Below are 21,869 nucleotides of genomic sequence, written 5' to 3'. Positions count from 1 at the left end.
TTGCCAATATTTTTCTTTTTTTGATAAAAGCCATTCTAATAGAACACCTTGATTTTAGCCTAGCAAGGCCTGTGTCCTGTGTCTGACTACAGAACTGTAAGATAATTAATTTGCGTTCTTTAAGCGGACAAATTCATGGTAATTTGTTATGACAGAGATAGAAAACTTTTCTACATGCATAAAGAAGGTATTGTACTCCTCCTTCGTTGTGTGTATACCTTGCAAACCTTTTCTCTACATCTGTAGGTTGTCATTACACTTTTTAAATCGTGTCTTTTAATGCACAAAAGTTTTTAATACAATGTGAGATTGGATTTATCTTCTCTTTTTTCCCTATTTGTGTATTATAAAATGAATCCTCCCAATACACCAAAGTCATAAAGAGATTTTCTGCCTTCAACATTGAAACATTTCATTCAACTGCAATTTTTTTCATATGGTTTGTGGTAGGAATACTATTTGTTTTCAGTGGATGATAATTTCCCCAGTGCCTTTTATTGACCAGCATATCCTTTCTTCACTAATCTTTGTCTTTGTCATAAATCAAGTTGACCTGGTTTTGTGATTCAGTTTCTGGGTTCTCTGTTTGAATTCTTTGTCTCTTTGTCTATTCTTAAACCAGTATTACAGTCTCTTAATCGTAGCACTTTTATAATAATGTTTGTTATTTTGTAGACTAAGAACCCCTACACTGTTCTTCTTCAATTATCTTGACTAGTCTGAGCCCTTTACTCTTCCTTATGAATTTTAAAATAAATTTTCAAGTTTCTTAATAACTCTGTTGGTATTTTGATTGGATTGCATTGAATTTATGGATTAATTTTGAGAGAACTGACATTTTTATAATATTGAGTTTGAGTGTTCCCATCCATGAACTTGGTTTATCTCTCAATTACTGATGTTCTCTTTTATGATTTTGAATACTGTATTATACTTTTATATATTTACGAACATTTTGTATGATACCTTTAAAAAAGTGTTTTCTAAGTATTAATTCCTGATATCTAGAGATACATTTTTAAATAAAGGTTTTGTACTTAGCAATATTCCTTAAACTCTTTATTAACTCTATTGGTTTTGTTTCTTATGTTGACAATTATAATAGTCATAACATTTTTTAATAATGAGTATCTTATTTATTTACAATACTTATATTTTAAAATTCCCTTTTCTCATCTTAATGAACTCCTTTTAGAAACTCTTATACAATACTAAAAGTAACACTCACAGTGAGTGTCTTAATTTTGTTGCAGATTTCAAAGAAAATATTCCTATCATTTATTTTTAAGAATGCAATTTGCTCAATCAGGTTTTAACAGGTTTTTTCTATTCTTAATTTGGAACTATTTATTTTTAATGGATATGGGTTTATTAAATGATTTTTCTGCCTCTGTTGAAAATTACAATTTTTTCCTTTTAATCAGTTTATACCAAATTACATTAATAGATTTTTCTAATGAAAATATTTTTGCTTTCCTAGAATAGACCCAACTTTTCCTAATGGTGTTTATATATGTGTGTATATGTGTCCATGTATTAAGAAGCTGGATTTTCTTGCTTATATTCTATTTGGATTTTTTGTACCTATGGCCATCAGTGATGCTCTAAGGAAGCTTTTTTTCGTGTACTATCATCTATAAATTTGGATATCAAGATTATGTCACCCTTAAAAATAAAATATATAAAGAGGAAAAGAATAAAAGAGGGAAAAGAAGGAAGGAAAGAAGAGAGGAGGGAAAGAAGAAAGGAGGGAGAGAGGGAAGGAGGAAGGGAGGGAAAGGGAGAGGATGTGATTTCTTGAATAGTAAAAAAATTACTGATTTTTGAATATCTGTTAGTATTTGCTTATGAAACAATCTGCTAGAACTATGAAACTAGGTTTTTTATGTTTTTGTTTTGTTTGGGGGGGGCTGAATTTTTTAACTATTAAATTTCATTTTTTTTTTTTTTTTTTTTGAGACAGAGTCTCGCTCTGTCGGCCAGGCTGGAGTGCAGTGGCGCGGTCTTGGCTCACTGCAACCTCCATCTCCCGGGTTCACGCCATTCTCCTGCCTCAGCCTCCCAAGTAGGTGGGGCTACAGGCGCCCGCCATCATGCCTGGCTAATTTTTTTGTATTTTTTAGTAGAGACGGGGTTTCACCGTGTTAGCCAGGATAGTCTCGATCTCCTGACCTCATGATCTGCCCGCCTCGGCCTCCCAAAGTGCTGGGATTACAGGCACGAGCCAACGCGCCTGGCCTAACTATTAAATTTCTTTATTGAAATATTATAAAACTGTCATGTTTCTCGTTAGTTTTGATGTTATCTTTTGCCTAAAAATGTTTCACTATTTGATTTTTCATAGCACTGGCTTCGAGTTGTTCACTATAATTTATTTTTCTTTTCAAATCCTACCTGGAGCTCAGTTATATATTTCTTTTACCCCTAATATGTTTTAGTTGTAACCTTTCTGTTTCATTTTTTATCACTCTTGCCAATTTTGTCTATCTCATTAGTCTTTACCTTATACCAGGTTGTGTTTATCCTTCACATTGATTTTTCCAAAACTAAATCTGATCCATTCCTTTCAGCTTAAAACTGAAAAACTCCCCCTAAATCTAAGGATTTAAAACATATATACAAGGATATAAAGGCCTGTTCCTTTATAGGCTTTCCCTAGGCTCGTCTTCCACCACTTCTCCATAAATCTCATCTGTGGCCCATTGAGGCTTCATCACTTGCAGTTTCTGAAGGTAACATGCTCTCCTCTCATGCCTCTTCGTCTTTTTTTTTTTTTCCCATCCAAGGTTGTTTTATTTCCATACACAAATGAAACTTGTACACACATATATACACACATATATCTTACATTATGGATACACCATATAAATATACATAGCATATACATATTGGTCTATATATTGTATGCATATGTTCACATGTACATATGTTTGTAATTTCCACATGCATGCAAACTACCTTAAGTGCCTCCCTCAAGGGGTAGGTGAAGAGAGGATCAAAAAGGGGACTATTGGTCTCTGGCACAATGTGTTTAATAGGTTTGATTCTCATTTTTACCTTTCCTGAAAATCTGGAAGTAAAAACCTGAATTTTTTTCAGATGAATTACTGCCCTTGTTCACGCTATCCTCCTACATACCGTGGACAGACAAGTGTTCCTGGTGCCCAATGCTCTTCCTTCCACCCGTAGTAGCCTTTCTTCCATCATATTCTATCATCTTTTTTCTTCCTATTATGCTCTTCCTATTAATTTATATCCTTTCATTTACATACTATCCCAGTTCATACTCTTATTATTGTGTTTAGTTCACTAAATTATAATTGTTTATCTGTTTCCTGTCTTCATGACTCAAAACTTCTAAAGGGGAAAGAGTTAACAACTTGTAATTTTAACTGGCCCACAATAACTTCTTAATTGACATTTAAAGCCACACATGTGTGTCATTTATTTACTTAGAAAACATCTATTGAGTGTATTTGTATTTTAAGATACTTCAGGAAAAAAAGGAAGGAAGAAAGGAAAGAAAGAAGGAAGGAGGAAATTAAAAAGGAAGGTGGAGAAAGAAAAAGAAAAAATGAAAAGAAAGAAAAATGAAGCATAAATAGTAGAGTATTAATAATTATTAAAGATGAAGAATAACCATATGACACTTTATTACACTATTATCCCAAGTTTATTGAAATTAAAATAAGCATTCAATGGAGAGATTTCTAGAATAGGCTTATCTTTAGAGTTGTCACAAAGCACAATTTTTAAAGAACACTTGGCTGGGCATGGTGGCGCATGCCTGTAATCCTAGCACTTTGGGAGGCTGAGGCAGGTGGATTGCCTGAGCTCAGGAGTTCGAGACTGGCCTGGGCAAGCCTGTCTCTACTAAAATACAAAAGAAATTAGCCGTGGTGTGCACCTGTAGTCCCAGCTACTCAGGAGGCTGAGGCAGGAGAATTGCTTGAACCCAGGAGGCAGAGGTTGCAGTGAGCCGAGGTCGCACCACTACACTCCAGCCTGGGCTACAGAGTGAGACTCCGTCTCAAAAAAAAAAAAAAAAAAAAAAAAGAAGAAACACTTGAAAGATTTTTAATTTCTTAAATATTTCTTAACTTTCATAAATGCTCAACTTTTCCATGGAACTAGACCCAAGTTTGCTAAATATTTGAAGGTATTTGTCATTGGATTATACATTTATATAAAATGATAATGAGTTCTACACATAAAATAAACTTTATATTCTATAACAGTCCTAATATTCCTCCTGTGGACTCATTCTTCCAGTTGCCAACTTTCACTTACTTCTGGCTTAAATTCCTGATTTTGGATAATTCAGCCTTTTTTGTTTTTCCAGCCTCTCTTTACCCTCCCTGGAGATGGCGCATCAGGGCAGGAGGTTTGTGAAGTTCCACAGAACCAATAAAGATGTTCACTGTCCTCAGATCATCAATGGCTGTTGCCACTGGTGACGTGTCTCTTCTGTTCCCTGGACTGGTGACTGCTGACGCATGACTGGTCCTGCCTTTCCTTCTGACTTGCTTTCCAGGTATCCACAGATAATATCTCAGGGTCCACCATTCTGCCTCTGCTCTAAGTCTGCACACTGTGGCTTCTTCATTACATACTCAGGCCATTGCCACACATCTGTGAGTCCACCCCTCCCTTCTGAGGCACAGAAGGATTTCTGAAATCTCGAAATGCCTCCTTGAAGAGTGTGAGAAAACAGATCTTCTTCAGAAGTACCCTGTGCAAATGCTATTTTCCCAATGCATGTTTGGAGAACATGGGGCTGGGGCTTCTTTTAGTGAAGTGCCCTCCCGCTAAAGGCTGCATCTATGAAATGAATCTACTCATCTATCTCCTGATATTTTCAGGTTCTCCAATGATTATATACACATATATATAGATAATTTCCTTTCTCTACTTCCCGTTTTAACCATCTGTGATCTCCCCTAAGGGAAGCCAGACAGGTGTTTTCAACCTCTTTATTTTCTTGGAATGATTTCTCATTCTAGAAATAATTATACTGCCCTAGAAATCTTTCTGTGTGTTCCCAGGTGGGGAAGCGGTACCTTACCCTGGGCCCTCTCTGCAGCAGGCATACCATGGAATTGTCATGCTCCGACTCCCTACCAGATCTAGCTGCTGTTATGTAAGCGGAAACTTTAAAATTTATGAATTCCTTTTTTATTTCCACCAAGTAAACCCTTTAAAGGTGAAGTATATGCATTCTTTTACACAGCCGTTGAAAACATAGGTAGTGAAGAAGGTTGAAGCCTTCGGACTTCTCTGGGGCCAGCAGCCGCCCAACCAGGGACCCAGGGCTGCGGGCTCAGCTGACGACCCTGGGCTCCGTGTCCAACCAGCAGTTAGCAGGTGGCTGCGCTAAGGTGGCAGAGGAGGCGCCTAAAGAGGTGCCGGAGGACACGGCCCCGCCGGCGGACAAGCCTCAGCTGCTGCACGATGCGGGCATCTGTAAGCGGTTCAACGTGGGCTTGGGGTTTGTCTTCCTGTCCATGACCGCCCTAGCCAGGGTCGCGCTCGATCCCCCAGTGGACGTCTTTGTGTACCAGAGTAAGCTGCACACGGAGGGCTTCCTGGAGCCTGAAGGAGGACGAAACAGTGGAGGAGTCACCCAAGGGTGTGGAAACTACCTGTGTCACCGGACCTGGTGGGGTGTTCTGCATTGGGAGTGAGAGGCGGCCAAAGGAGAAGAACATGCAGAAACGCACATCAAAAGGAGACGGGTACTACAACTGTGGAGGTCTAGACCATCATGCTAAGGAATGCAAGCTGCCACCCCAGCCCAAGAAGTGCCACTTCTGCCAGAGCATCAGCCATGTGGTAGCCTCGTGTCTGCTGAAGGCCCAGCAGGCCCCTAGCGCACAGGGCAAGCCAACCTACTCTCCAAGGGAAGAAGAAGAAATCCACAGCCCTGCCCTGATTCTGGGGTTCCAAGAATTGAGCCACAAAGGGTGAAGCTTCCTGTTTCCCAAGAGCAGGAAGTTTCATGGAACAGGCAAAGTGGAGAAAGTGGGAATAGGGTGCATTTGGGCCAGTTGGCACTGCCATGTATCTCAGGCTGGGGTTCACACCATCGCCCCTTCTTCCCTCTAGGTGGGGGGAAAAGGTGAGGCAAAGGAACTCCAACCATGCTCTGTCCATATGCAAGTGAGGGCTTCTGGGGGCGGTGGGGGATGGCAGCGGGAATTTCCAGCTTTTGAAAATGGCCTAGATAGGGAAGTTGTTTTCCTTTGTTACCGGAAAGAGGTCCCGATCCAGACCCTAAGAGAAGGTTCTTGGACATGGCGCAAGAAAGAATTCAGGGTGAGTCCGTGAAAGCACGTTTATTAAGAAAGGAAAGGAATAACGAATGGCTGCTCCATAGGCAGAGCAGCCCCTGAGGGCTACTGGTTGCCCGTTTTTATGGTCGTTTCTTGATTATATGCTAAACGAGGGGTGGATTATTCCTGCCTCCCCTTTTTAGACCATACAGGGTAACTTCCTGACGTTGGCGTGGCATTTGTAAACTGTCATGGTGCTGGTGGGAGTGTAGCTGTGAGGACAACCAGAGGTCACTCTCATCGCCATCTTGGTTTTGCTGGTACATGGCCGGCTTCTTTACTGCAACCTGTTTTATCAGCAAGGTCTTTATGAATTGTATGTTGTATCTCATCCTGTGGCTAAGAATGCCTTAACCTCTTGGGAATGCAGCGCAACAGGTCCCAGCCTTATTTTAGCCAGCCCCTATTCAAGATGGAGTTACTCTGGTTCAAACACCTCCGACACTTTTAAAGAAGAATATATAGTAATAATTCCCACGCCAGAGTGAAGTGATTAAGTACAAGACCAGATCCATGGAGCCAAGCCACTACATTCTGTGGGAGGGAATCTCTCAGGAATAAGGCAGTGTTTTTGTTTTGTTTTCACATCTTGTATCCTTATACCCACTTTTGGGTTAGGGTCCTGGGAACTCTCCCAAGCAATGGCTACAGATGATGGCAAGAAGGGTGTTTGGGAGAACAGCTGCAAACCTGCTGCTCCTATGCTCACCCCCACCCCATTCTGGGCCAATGTGATTTTATTTATTTGCGCCCTTGGATACAGCACCTCAGGTCTCACTTTCTGCAGGATGCCAACTGCATTAGCTGTGTGCGACTGACGTCATCTTGTGCATTTTAATGTTTTTTTCCTTAATGTAAATATTCTGCTTTTGTATTTTTGTATATTTTAACCTAAGGCCCTCATTTCCTGCACTGTGTTCTCAGGTACATGAGCGGTCTCAGGAACAAGCCGGCAGCAACTCCAGGTTTGCACAGCAGAAATACTTTTTGTCATTTTTGGAACCAGGGAGAGCAACTATTTGGAGTGCCTGGCCTATTGAACTACCTCATTTTTGCTAATGAGAGCTGGCTTTTCTGCCATAATATCCTCTTGAAACCCCCTCTGCCTTGAAAATGTTTTATGGGAGACTAGGTTTTAACTGGGTTGCCTCATGACTCGATAGCCAACTACTGGAAGATTGGAAATTAGTCTAAACAGGAAATGGTGGTGCAGAGAGATTAGGAGAGGTTGGGCCAGGTGAAAGGCCCAGAGAGGAAGCCAAGATTAGGTGAGGCTTGTCTAATCCTAGGGCACAGGACATGCTTTACATCCCAGATCCATTCTTCACTAGATTAGGTCTACCATGTTCCAGAGGGTATGTGTGTTTGGAAAAAAATGTGAGTTGGTAGGGATAAGTTTAAAGACCAATACCTCTGTACTTATCCTGTGCTGTCGAGGGCTGGGTATATGAAGCAAGGTCTAAAATCCTTAACCTTTCAAAATTTGGGGGTTCCAGGGAAACCCATAAGCGAGTGCTTCTTTTTTTTTTTTTTTTTTTTGAGACAGAGTCTTGCTCTGTCGCCCAGGCTGGAGTGCAGTGGCGCAATCTCGGCTCACTGCAAGCTCTGCCTTCCGGGTAGCTGGGACTACAGGCGCCTGCCACCACGCCCGGCTAATTTTTTGTATTCTTTTTAATAGAAACGAGGTTTCACCATGTTAGCTAAGAAGGTCTCGATCTCCTGATGCGAGGGCTTCTTTGTGGTGCCTGGAGCCCATGCCCTGCTTGCTACAGTAGTGATTAATAGTATCGGTAGCTAAAGGAGAAAAGGGTTTCGTTTACATGCTCTGAGATCACCACAAACCCACCTCACTGTGTTGAAACGGGACAAATGAAATGGACCGCACTGGGTGGTGTGTGTCTGATCATGGGTTCTTATCTTCCCTAAATGCTGCCCTCCCCACTCCCCCAGTTATTGTATTTGTCTGGGCTTTGTAGGACTTCACCGAGTTGGTGATCGCTAGGGGGCCTACTTTATGTAATGCTGCCCTCCCCACTCCCCCAGTTATTGTATTTGTCTGGGCTTTGTAGGACTTCACCCAGTTGGTGATTGCTAGAGGGCCTACTTTATGTAAATACAATGCATTGGTCTTTTTCCATGTTCTTTTGGGGTTTTGTTTACTTCTTGTTTACTTGTTTACTTATAACTTCTTTTTGTATTGAGACCATCTTTGACAGAAGGTTCTGCGCCAGGCAAAAAGATCTCAAACATTAGTTTGGGGTGCCCTCTTATTAAAGTGGAGATCTTGAACCATCCTTTATTTTGTGTTCCTCTTCCCCATTACCTATTAGACCACATCTTCTGTCCTAAAAACTTGTCTCCTACCCTGCCCTGTTTTCTGTTCATCCCCAAAAGAAAACCTACACACCCAGACACATACACATTTAATGCTCGGAGTGTCTCCACAACTCTTAAATGATTTATGCAAACATCCTGAAGAAGCTAGGAACCCTCCATCGCTTGTTCCCAACTTCCTGAGTCAAGACCATTTCCTGATGTATCCATGCCAAACTCTTAAGACACTGCTGTACTTTGGATGGATCAAACCTAGTTAATCTTTAATCCTAAAGTAGAGAGAAGCAACTGGGGGCCTTCCATGTGGAAAGTGGGGTCAGGAGGCCAAGAAAGGGAATACGAATGTATATCCAAGGCACTCAGGAATTGTTATGCAAGTGCAAGAAACTTTTGTCAAAGTGGCCGCAAGATTGTTTAATAGGAGACAAATGAATGTAACTCCATGTTTGCTGCTAGAAACCAAAGCTTTGTGTGAAATTTTGCGTTTATTGGGAGGGAGGGTAGGAAAGCCTGAGGTTGTCTGTTCTTTTCCTGATCCCTTCCCCTCATTCCTGAACTGCAGGAGACTGAGCCCCTTTGGGCTTTGGTGACCCCATCACTGGGGTGTATTTATTTGTGGTTGAATTTGCTGTACTGGGTACTTCCTTTCCCATTTTCTAATCATTTTGTAACACATGCTGACTCTTCCCTTCCCTTCTCCTTTCCCTGGGAAAATACAGTGAATAAATAAAGACTTACTGGGAATGAAAAAAAAAAAGAAGGTTGTTAACAAACATTGTGTTTCTTCAAAAATTATGGTTAGATTACACTTGCCATATTCTCCAGAATCTAAGAATGACCTATATTTGGTTGGCAAAATGTGAGCAGAAGGAACCTGTGACCTCTCTTATAGAAGTTTTAACATAAAATGCACAATATACCATGTCCCTTTTTTCTGCCTTGATAATTATGGAAGTGCACTTCAAGAAGAAGTGTCCCTCAACTTGCATTCCTAAGTGACTATGGTAAAAAAAGCCCCCTGCCCAACACATAGGGCTTGTACCATGTGCAACAAATAAACATTTGTTGTATTAAGCCACAGAGCTCTGGAGGTTACTTGTTACAGCCCTATAATCTAGAGCATCCAGACTGATGCACAGACTAATATGCATTAACATAGGAAAATAGTCATCACGTGATTGTTTAATCAAAGCTAGCATGATCACCATTATGTTGAGATCTCAAGTCAGTTGAGTAACATACTCAAAGCTGATAAAACACAATTTGCTCTTTCAGCTATTAATCCTGAATATGTTACTCAATTATTAATTGGGATTAATAGGTTAAAGAGTAAATTCTTCCTTTAAGACCTTTTGAGAAGCCAGAAATTTGAGGAGCAGGAATTATTATATATATTTCTGAGATAGAGTCTCGCTCTGTTGCCCAGGCTGGAGTGCAGTGGCATGATCTTGGCTCACTGCAACCTCTGCCTCCTGGGTTCAAGCGATTCTCCTGCTTCAGCCTCCTGAGTAGCTGGGATTTCAGGTGCGTGCCACCACGCCTGGCTAATTTTTGTATTTTTAGTAGAGACGGGGTTTCACCATGTTGGTCAGACTGGTCTCAAATTCCTGACCTTGTGATCCACCCACCTCAGCCTCCCAAAGTGCTGGGATTACAGGTGTGAGCCACCGCGCCCGGCCAGGAATTATATTTATGGCTGTTTTCAACCTTTTGGATAGGCTTCCAGTATCTGGGAAAATTCACCTGTGAGAAGTCTGTCTTTTCAAAGTAGAAATCAAAATTGAGTTCCTAGTCTCACTTAGAGCTAGGCTGTAGGCATTTGACTTACATATACCCACTAGTTTCACTGATCTGAAGGCAGGAAATAGAGGACATTGTTTTGAGTAGAATTGTCCTTTGGTTATGGGAAGCCTGTGGATTTGGGGAATGGAAGTGGTTGCAAAGTCAGGTTTTTGCCATAGGGTGTTACAGCAGACAGAATTTCCTGTCTCTCTAACTATACATATTTAATTCGCTTTCTAGCTCTCTAGAGAGGTGTGCCAAGGAATTGAATTATACAGTGGTGTGAACTGATACAGTTGAAACAAGTTTGATATCTGTAGGGTGGGCAGTCAGAAAGGGAAGATTATGAGTAGGAGGAACTTCACGGGCATGGGCCAAAGTTGTCAACAGAAAGAATTTCTTTGCGCTTTTTCAGGAAACACTCTGCCTTGCTTTTTAGGTCTTCTAAGTGATTGTCATGCCTACCTAGATTATCCAGGCTTATCTCCCTTATTTAAAGTTAACTGATTAGGGACTTTAATGACATCTCCAAAGTCACTTCACAAAAACACTAGATTAGCATTTAATTAAATAACTGGGGACTATCACCTAATTACGTTAACACATTTTAGAAAATTACAAAGCATTTATCAACAGTGGTTTCAGAAAAGCTGACTTCCTTTCTTCCAGTAATTGATATGGCAGTGCTATTAATTTTATTTGTTTGTTTGTTAAATGCAGCCTGTTCTACTGAATGGTTTGTGTTGTTTTATTTCTGGAATCTCAACCTTATCTGTTCCCCCAGATAACTGCTATTCTGGTAGCTATTAAGATCTTTTTATAAATAAATCCCTTACTGGTTAACCTAGACAGAGTAGATTTTATTTATTTTAACTCGAGAACCTGACCCTACTAAACTTAGCCTTCTTAGAGAGAAAAATCACCTTTTTCTATTAAGATAAAGGACTTTGGTCAAAATGACATTACACAGACTTCTACTTCCTGTTTATGAAGCAAACTTTTTCTATAGGCCGTATTCTTTTGTTCTTAGATTAGTAAATTCTAGAAGTCATGCCCTCTCTATGGAAAGACACTTCCCTACGCTGCTTCTTCAGTTTTCTCTTGAATATCTTTGTAACAGAAACATTTAGTGAATTCATTGAAAATTTTCAAGAACTTTGTTGTATGGAAATGCCAATACCTTCTTCCTTTTGCATGCTTACAGCAGAGACTGTTACCATGAATGGCATGGAAAATGGAAGAGGAAGAAGAAGAAGAAAGATGTAAGTGAATAGAAAAGATGAAGGTAAACTAAGGAATAAAGCTCTATTTTAATTGAGGAAAGACTGAACAATGGATTACAACCTTTTTTCTCTCGTAATATATTTGTACCATGTATTGTCTTGTCTAGGTTATTATTAAATATTGCTTTATGAGCTGTTGTACTACGATCATACTCAAATGCTTTTACCCTAACCTTAAGTTAATGGTGCTTTATATATCTATATGTCTGCATATATTCATAAACTTATTTGTTGGTGAAAACATTTCTGTATCATTACTTACAACAAAATGATTAAAAGCACAGCTTATGGAGAAAAACTGCCTAGTTTTGTTTAGTTATTGTTAGATTTAATTTTTAAAATTGTGTTAAAATGTACAAGACATAAAATTTACCATTTTAACCATTCTTAAGTGTACATGTCTGTGTCATTAAGTTTCACATTGTTGTGTAACAATCACCACCATTCATTTCCATAACTTTTTCATCATACCATGGTGAAACTCTATACACATTAAATAATAACTTTCCATTTTCTCCTCCCCTAGCTACTGTAAAACTCCATTCTACTTTCTGTCTGTATGAATTTGAATGCTGTAGGTATCTCATATCAGTGGAATCATGCATTTGTGTGTGTGTGTGTGTGTGTGTGTCTGGCTTACTTCACTTAGCATAATGCACTCAAGTTTCACCCATGTAGCATGTATCAGAATTTCATTCTTTTTAAAGGCTGAATAATATTCCACTTGTATTTATAGACCACACTTAATTTATCCATTTATCTATTGATGGACATTTGTATTGTTTTCAACTTTTGGCTATTGTGAATAATGCTGATATGAACACTAGTGTACAAATATTCATAAACTTATTTTTTAAAATTAAAAAAAATATTCCCAGAAGTAGAATTGTTGAATCCTATGGTTTAATTCTGTTTAATTTTTCAAGAACTGCCATACTGTTTTCCACAGTTGCTGCTGCATTTGTTATTTCTACTAGAAATACTGATGGTTCAAATTTCTTCAGACCCTTGTAACACTTGTTTTCTGTTTTGTTTTGTTTTGAAAAATAGCCATCCTAAAGTTGTATTGACTAAGTTTTCCACACTCTTGATGCTCTGGAAATTGGGGCCTCATTGATACCAGATAAACTTCCTTTCCCAAGGGTAACTAACTAATTTCAGACAGCAAACAACTCCCCTTTCAGCCTGTCTTTGATATACAAACAAAACAATTCAGTCCACATCCCCAACCATCTCCTTTATCAAACTTTCACACACCGAGCCAATATTTTTCCTGTCCTAAATCACCCTGGAGCCAGATACCAGACAACTAGAGATGACTCCTATAGTCTACAGCTCACCAAAATTGTTAAAACATATCCCAAATATACTGGGTGTACCTATCCTGCCTTGCCCATTTCTTCCCAGGAAACCCCGAATAAAGGCTCCAGGCCATGTTTTCCCATGTTCCCCTTGTGCCTCCTAACTGACCTTGTTGCTTCTCTCATGTGGCCCTGTGTGGGCTGCTATGCCTCCTGTTTCTGGGGAATCTGTGAGTATAAAGTTCTTCACAATCATCATTTCTGTGTCTATAATAATCTTGACATACCCAATTACCACAAATCCCCCATGCATTTTTGAAGAGAAGTGGTGTCTCATTGTGTTTTGATTTGCATTTTCCTATTGATTCCTGGTGATGTTGAGTATTTGTTATATGTTTATTGACCATTTGTATATATTTTTGGACCAATGTCTATAAATCCTTGGCTCATTTTTGAATTGAACTGTTTGTTTTATGGTGTTGAGTTGTAGGGGCTCTTTTTATATTCTATATATTATTCCTTTATCAGATAGGTGATTTGCATTTTTTCTCTCATTTTTTGTGTTACTTGTTTTACTTTGTTGATAACATCCTTTGATGAACAAATCTTTTAAATTTTGATGGAGTCCAATTTGTGTATTTTTTTTCTTTTGTTGTCTGTGCTTTTGGTGTCATAGCCAACAAATTACTACCAAATCCAATGTCATGAAGCTTTTCCCCTATGTTTTCTCCCAAAAGTTTTATAGCTCTAGCTCTTAGGTTTAGATATTTGATACATTTTCAGTTAAGTTTTTTCAATAATATTAGACAATAAAATGTTCAACTTTGCTCTTTTGCATGTGAATATGTATTTTTCTATGTACCACTTGTTGAAAAGACTGTCTTTTCCCCCATTAAGCCATCTTGGCACCATTGTTTATTTGATCATAAATGTAAAGATTTATTTCTGTGCTCTCTATTCTATTCCATTGGTCTATATGTCTGTCTTTATGTTACTACTACACTGTTTTGATTGCCATAGCTTTGTAGTAAGTTTCAAAAGCAGAAAATATAAGACCTCTAACTTTGTTTTTCCTTTACAGGATTGTTTTGGCAGTTGGGAATTCCTTGAGATTTATTATGAATGTTAGGAGTGATTTTTTTTTTAATTTTTGCAAAAGACATCATTGAAATTTTAAAAGGGATTGCATTGAATCTGTAGATTAGTTTGGATAGTATGAATATCATAACAATAGTAGTAAATCACCTAGTTCATGTACATGGGATTTCTTTCCATTTATTTGTGTCTTCTTGAATTTCAGCAGTGGATTGTCATTTTCAGTGTATAAATCTTTCATCTCTTTGGTTAGACTTAGTTTTTTATTCTTTTGATGCTATTGTAAATGTAATTGTTTTCTTAAATTTCTTTTCAGCTTACACATTGTTAGGACACAAATATAGCCAATTTTTATGTGCTGATTTTGTTTACAGAAACGTTGCTAAATATGTTTATTAGTTCTAACAGGTTTTGTTTGTTCCTGTGTGTGTGCTGGGGGGGATGTTTGTGTGTATTCTTGGGATTTTATACATATAAGATGATGTCATCTGAGAACAGAGATAATTTTACTTCTGTCTTTCCAATTTAGATGCCTTTTATTTATTTTTCTTTCCTGATTGCTCTGGCTACAACTTTTAGCACTATGTTAAATAAAAGTGGTAAAATTGAACGTACTTGCCTTGTTGCTGATCTTATAGAAAAAGCTTTCAGTTTTCCACCATTGAGTATGATGTTAGCTATGGGTTTTCTACATATATCTTTATTGTGCTGAGATGGTTTTCTTCTATTCCTAGTGTGTTGAGTGTTTTTATCACGAGAAAATGTGTATTTTGGCATTTTTTTTCTGCATCAATTTAGATAATCACGCTCCCCAACTTCATTCTGTTAATGTGGTATGGCAAATTAATTTTTGTATTTAAAACTACCTTTACATCCCAGGAATAAATCCTACTTCATCTTGGCATATAATACTTCCAATATGCAATTGAATTTGGTTTCCTAGTAAACCAAACAATTTTTGGCATCGATATTCATAAGTAATATTGGTGTGTAGTTTTCTTGTCATATCTTTTTCTGGCTTTGGCATCAGCATAATACGGGCCTCATTGAATGACTATAGAAGTATTCTTTCCTCTTTAATGTTTTTAACAATTTGAAGATTGATGTTAATTCTTCTTTAAACATTTGTTAGAATTCACTGATGAAGCCATCTGATTCTGAACTTTTCTTTCATGTAAGGTTTTTGATGATTGACTCAATTTCCTTACTCATTATCCATCTGTTGGAATTCCTTATTTCTTCATGATCCAGTCTTAGTCGATTGTACATTTCTAGAAATCTGTCCATTTTCATCTAGGTTACCTATTTTGTTGAGGTACAGTTGTTCACAGGACTTTCTTATAATTCTTTTTATTTCTGTAAAATTAGTAGTAATGTCGGGAGGCCGAGGTGGGTGGATCACGTGAGTTCAGGAGTTCGAGACCAGCCTGGCCAACATGGTGAAACCTCGTCTCTACTAAAAATACAAAAATTAGCCGGGCGTGGTGCAGGTGCCTGTAATCCCAGCTACTTGGGAGGCTAAGGCAGGAGAATCGCTTGAAACCGAAAGGCGGAGGTTGCAGTGAGCCGAGATTGTGCCATGCACTCCAGCCTGGGGGACAAGAGTGAGACTTCATCTCAAAAAAAAAAAAATTAGTAGTAATTAATAATGTCTTCTTTTTCATTTTGGATTTTAGTTCTTTGAAACTTCTCTCTTTTTTTGTCAACTTAGCTACAAGGTGTTAATTTTGTTGATCTTTTTGAAGAACCAATTATTGGTATTGTTGATGCTCTCTGTTGTTTTTCTAGTCTCTATTTTATTTATTTATGTTACAATTTATTTTCTTCTGCAAACTTTGGGTTTAGTTTGTTTTTATATATTTCTTAGGTCCTTCAGGTGTAAACCTAGGTATCAGGCGAGGTGTCAGAGTTCCTGCATAGGGAAGTGGTTGACTCATGGGTTGGTAAGAAGAATTTACCAACAACAGTATAGATTTGAAAAGGAAAGTTTTATTAGATACAAAGAACACTGCAGAAGAGTGCAGCCAGGCACCACAGCAAGAGAGGACTGAGTGCCCACAGTGGATTTTTCCTTAGGAGTATTTATGGACCTTAAAGCAGGAAGTGAAAGGTAGTTTGCACAATAAATGATTACATTTGTAGATATTATGGTTCCTTAATGTTGGCAAAGGTTGCACAATGAGTTTTGATATGCGTGCATTCCAGAGATGTATAGAAATTCTAGTTATATTTATAAATTTTAAGTTGAAAAGAGGCCTGGAACCAGGTGCCTTTAGACAATAGGAAAGTCTAATTACTTCTAAATTCCTCAGATAAGAAATTTTTGTCTTTGGGGCTTGCTTGATGGTCACCAGGTGATTTTTACTCTCCTCACTGGATTTTTTATTTGAGCTTGTTCTTCTTTTTTAATACAAGTGTTTAACATTAACAATTATCTCTCTTAGCACTGCTTTTACTGAATCCCATAATTTGGCATGTAGTGTTTTCATTTCATTTGTCTCAAGATATTTTCTAATTTCCCTTCTGATATGGTTTGGCTGTGTCCCCACCCAAATATCAACTTGAACTTTATCTCCCAGAATTCCCACATATTGTGGGAGGAACCCAGGGGAGGTAATTGAATCATGGGGCCACTCTTTCCCATGCTATTCTCATGATAGTGAATAAGTCTCATGAGATCTGATGGGTTTATCAGGGATTTCTGCTTTTGCTTCTTCCTCATTTTCTCTTGTTGCCCCCCTGACTTTTGCCTCCGGCCACGATTCTGAGGCCTCCCCAGCTATGTGGAACTGTAAGTCCAATTAAACCTCTTTTTCTTCCCAGTCTCAGGTATGTCTTTATCAACAGCATGAAAACAGACTAAAACAGTAAATTGGTACCAGTAGAGTAGGTTGCTGAAAAGATACCCGAAAATGTGGAAGCAACTTTGGAACTGGGTAACAGGCAGAGATTGGAACAGTTTGAAGGGCTGCAAAGAAGACAGGAAAATGTGGGAAAGTTTGGAACTTACTAGAGACTTGTTGAATGGCTTTACCCGAAAAGCTAACAGCAATATGGACAAAAAAATCCAGGCTGAGGTGGTCTCCGATGGAGTTGAGGAACTTGTTGGGAACTGGGGCGAAGGTGACTCTTGTTATGTTTTAGCAAAGTAGCTGGCAGCATTTTGCCCCTGCCCTAGAGATTTGTGGAACTTTGAACTTCAGAGAGATGATTTAGGGTATCTGGCGGAAGAAATTTCTAAGCAGCAAATCATTCAAGGGGTGACTTGGATACTGTTAAAGGCATTCAGTTTTGTAAAGGAAGCAGAGCATAAATGTTCAGAAAATTTGTAGCCTGATTATGTGATAGAAAAGAAAAACCCATTTTCTGGGAAGAAATTCAAGCTAGCTGCAGAAATTTGCATAAGTAGCAAGGAGCCTAAGGTTAATCCCCAAGACTTTGGGGAAAATGCCTGCAGGCCACCACATCAGAGACCTTCACAGCAGCCATTCCCATCACAGGCCCGAAAGCCCAAGAGGAAAAAGTGGTTTCATGGGCCGGGCCCAGGGTCCCCGTGCTATGTGCAGACTAGGGACTTGGTGCCCTGTGTCCCAGCCACTCCAGCCGTGGCTGAAAGGGGCCAACTTGCAGCTTGGGCTGTGGCTTCAGAGGGTGGAAGCTGCCAAGGCTTGGCAGCTTCCACATGGTGCTGAGCCTGTGGGTGCACAGAAGTCAAGAACTGAGGTTTGGAAACCTCCGCCTAGATTTCAGATGTTTGGAAATGCCTGGATGCCCAGGCAAAAGTTTGCTGCAGGGGCAGGGCTCTCATGGAGAACCTCTGCTAAGGCAGTGTGGAAGGGAAATGTGGGGTCGGAGCCCCCACACAGAATCCCTACTGGGGCACTGCCTAGTGGACCTGTGAAAAAAGGACCACCATCCCCAGACCCCAGAATGGTAGATCCACCGACAGCTTGCACTGTGTGGCTGGAAAAGCCGCAGCCACTCAAAACCAGCACGTGAAAGCATCTGGGAGTGGGGCTGTATCCTGCAAAGTCACAGGGGTGGAACTGCACAAGACCATTGGAACCCACCCCTTGCATAAGTGTGACCTGGATGTGAGACCTGGAGTCAAAGGAGATCATTTTGGAGCTTTAAAATTTGACTGCCCTGCTGGATTTCAAATTTGCATGGGCCCTGTAACCCCTTTGTTTTGGCCAATTTCTTCCATTTGGAATGGTTGTATTTACCCAATACCTGTACCCTCATTGTATCTAGGAAGTAACTAGCTTGCTTTTGATTTTACAGGCTCATACGTAGAAGGGACTTGCCTTGTCTCAGATGAGATTTTGGACTGTGGACTTTTGGGTTAATACTGAAATGAGTTAAGACTTTGGGGGACTGTTGGGAAGGCATGATTGGTTTTGAAATGTGAGGACATGATATTTGGAGGGGCCATGGGCAGAATGATATGGTTGGGTGGGTTTATCCCCACCCAAACCTCAACTTGAATTTTATCTCCCAGAATTCAAATGGGACTCAGTGGGAGGTAATTGAATCATGGGGGGCCAGTCTTTCCTGTGCTATTCTTATGATAGTGAATAGTCTCATGAGGTCTGATTGGTTTATCAGGGATTACTGGGTTTGCTTCTTCCTCATTTTCTCTTGACGCCTCCATGTAAGAAGTGCTTTTTGACTCCCGCCATGATTCTGAGGCCTCCCCAGCCATGTGGAACTGTAAGTCCAATTAAACCTCTTTTTCTTTCCAGTCTCGGGTATGTCTTCATCAGCATCATGTAAACAAACTAATACACCTTGTGATTTCTTCTTTGACCCATGGCCTGTTTAAGAGTGTGTTGCTTAATTTTCACTCATTTCTGATTTTTAAAGTTTTCCTTCTGGTATTAATTTGTAGTTTTATTCCATTGTGATGAGAAAAAACTTCATATGATTTCCATACATTAACATTTATTAAGACTTGTTTTGTAGCCTAACATGGTCTATCCTGGAGAATGTTCCATGTGCACTTCAGAAAAATGCATATTCTGCATTGTTAAATGGAGTATTCTGTGTATATTTATTAGATACAATTGCTCTAAAATAGTTCTTAAGTTCTCTATCTTCTTATTGGTCTTTCAAGTTTTTCTATCCATTATTGAAAGTGGGTTATTAAAGTCTCCTATTATTGTAGAGCTGTCTATTTCCCCTTTCAATTCTCTCAATGTTTGTTTCATATGCGTTTATAATTGTTATGTCTTCTTGGTGAATTCATCCTTTAATTATTATATAATGTCCTACTTCATTTTTTGTAACCATTCTTCACTGAAAGTGCATTTTGTCTGATATTAATATAATTGCCACTGATCTCTTTTGGTAAATTTTTGAATTTAATATCATTTTTCTATCCTCTCACTTTCAACCTATGTGTGTCTTTAGGTCTAAAGTGAGTCTCTTGCAGACAGTATATAGCTGGATCCTGTTAATTTTTAAAAATCCATTCAGCCAATCTGTCTCTTGAATGAAAATATAAATATTTTCATTTATGTTGAGAATAAATACTGATAGGGAAGAACTTACAATTGACATTGTAAATTTTGTTTTCTTATCGCTATTTTGTCCCTTATTTCTTCCTTTTCTGATTTTCTTTATTTTTAGTTGATTTTTTGTGGTGATACATTTTGATTCCCTTTTTATTTCCTTTTGTTTATATTCTATAGGTAGATTATTTAAGATTATCATGGGGATTGCATATAATGTCCTAAAGTTATGTTACTCTATCTTAAGTTCATACCAATTTAACTTCATCACATACAAAAACTCTACTACTATACAGTTTCAACCCCTTTATGTTATCAATGTCACACAGTACATCTTTATATCACATAGTCTTTAACATAGGTTTACAATTTGTTATTCATTTGTTTTTTAAATTTTGTAGAAAATGAAAGACTTAAGTTACAAACCAAAATTACAATAATATTGTTTATTTACATTTGTCCACATGTTTACCTTTGCTTAAGAACTGTATATTTTTACATGACTTTGAATTACTGTCTGATGTCCTTTCCTTTCAACTTGAAGGACTCTCTCTCTAGCATATCTTGTAGGAAAGTTTTAGTGATAATAAACTCCCTTAGCTGTTGTCTTGGGATGTCTTAATTTCTCCCATAGTTTTGAAAGATAGTTTTGCCAGATATAGAATTCTCAGCTTGCATTTTTTTTCCAGGACTTTAAATATATCATCCTACTGCTTTCTTTCCTGCAAGGTTTATTTTGTGAAATTTGCTGCTAATCTTATTGGAGATATATTTTATGTGATGAGTCACTTTTCACTTTTTGTTTTCAAGAGTCTCTTTTTGCTTCTTCATTCCTTTTGATTTTGCTCCTTAAATGCAATATCAAGTGGACTGTCAAGTTTGCTGCTTCTCCTCTTTGCCTGTGATGGTTAATTTTATGTGTCAGCTTAATTGGACTAAGGAATGTCCAGATAGCTGGTAAAGCGTTATTTCTTGGTGTGTCTGTGAGTGTGTTTCCAGGAGAAACATTTAAGTCATAGACTGAGTAAAGAAAGTTGGCTTCAGCAACATGGTTGGGCATCATCAAATACATTAATGGCCCAATTAGAACAAAAAGGTGGTATGAGATGTGCACTGTCACTATGGGATGACAATGTTTTTAGAAGGGCTGTCTTTGACTTTTTCCTTGATTCGTCTATTAGGTTATTTGACTTTGTTGGTCACATCTAGCTGTTAGGTTACATGAACTGATGGATAATTGCTCTATTGTTTTCAACAATGCCCTGGGCACCTAAATTGCTTTGCAGCCTGTTTTCAAGAAAGTCAGGTCTCTTTGCAGAGGTAGGCTTTAAGATGAATCTTCAACCCTAGGAGTGCTCTTCTGTATCTTTTCCTGTATTATCTCTGGTAAACTTCAGCTGGTCTAAGGTTTAGGTAGATGCTTACATGGAATTACCTGCATCTTCTTAATTACCTACCACCAAAACCTTCATTGTTTTTGAAATTGCCCTAAGGCTTGAACTTTCCCACAGGCTATTCCAAATAAAATCCGTTTCTTCATAGAGATCTGATCACTCTCTTTCTAGGCAAATGGGCTTTGTGACTGCTCTTGAGTGGGGTGGGGTGGAGGGGGGCAATGACCCACTTGTCTTGGAGTAACACATCTGCTTTACTAGCAGGACAGTGGACAGAGCCAGTGGCTTCTGTCTTTTTTAGTTTGCCTCATCTGGTATGGAATCTTCTAGTGTGAAGCCTCACAAGTGATCTGGGACAAGAGTAAATTGGGCTCCAATAGTCTCAGGCTGTCATGCCTGAGATAAAAGTTTTACCCTTTAATTAGAACTGTGTGGGGAAAGAAAGTCCCATATCTTTCATTCTTTCTTGACTTCGTTTAGGGGTCTTCTTGACTGAATTTCTATACCAAAAAACGGAGAGAAGGAGAAATTCTGGTGGCCTGATTCTCCCCAAAAGGTGTCATAGTCCTTAAGTGGGAAGTAGGGTGAGAGGGAGTCCTGTGTATTTCACTGCACTGCCCTGACATAATGTTTCTGTCATGCTGAGCAGGAAGAAAGGAGGGAGGGAACAGGTAGTGGCTCAAATGCCACAGAGTAGCACTGTTCTTACCAATATTTACTAGATTTATTATAATAAATTATCTTTAAAAAATTTTCTGTATGCTCTTATAACAATTTCAAGAGATTAAAGTAATCTGGTTTTTGTTGTTTTTTCAGTTTTTACCTATTATGATTG

At 38.8% G+C, this 21,869-nt stretch overlaps 1 pseudogene, besides 2 other annotated features; it reads left to right on the top strand.

The window, feature by feature from the left end:
* Positions 4,880 to 5,379: an enhancer, noted in NCBI's record as "H3K4me1 hESC enhancer chr20:11589653-11590152 (GRCh37/hg19 assembly coordinates)". NCBI's record gives its function as "activates a minimal SCP1, AML or CMV promoter by ChIP-STARR-seq in naive H9 embryonic stem cells {active_cell/tissue: H9 hESC(naive)}" and the evidence as "EXISTENCE:reporter gene assay evidence [ECO:0000049][PMID:30033119]".
* Positions 5,264 to 6,134, top strand: LIN28AP3 (LIN28A pseudogene 3; annotated as a pseudogene).
* Positions 5,380 to 5,881: an enhancer, noted in NCBI's record as "H3K4me1 hESC enhancer chr20:11589151-11589652 (GRCh37/hg19 assembly coordinates)". NCBI's record gives its function as "activates a minimal SCP1, AML or CMV promoter by ChIP-STARR-seq in naive H9 embryonic stem cells {active_cell/tissue: H9 hESC(naive)}" and the evidence as "EXISTENCE:reporter gene assay evidence [ECO:0000049][PMID:30033119]".
* Positions 6,135 to 21,869: the final 15,735 nt, after the last annotated feature.

The sequence above is a fragment of the Homo sapiens genome, chromosome 20 (assembly GCF_000001405.40).
Source record: "Homo sapiens chromosome 20, GRCh38.p14 Primary Assembly".
NCBI classification, from domain to species: Eukaryota; Metazoa; Chordata; class Mammalia; order Primates; family Hominidae; genus Homo; species Homo sapiens.
Note: the sequence above shows the minus strand (reverse complement) of the source record. Positions and strands in the feature narration are given on the sequence as shown.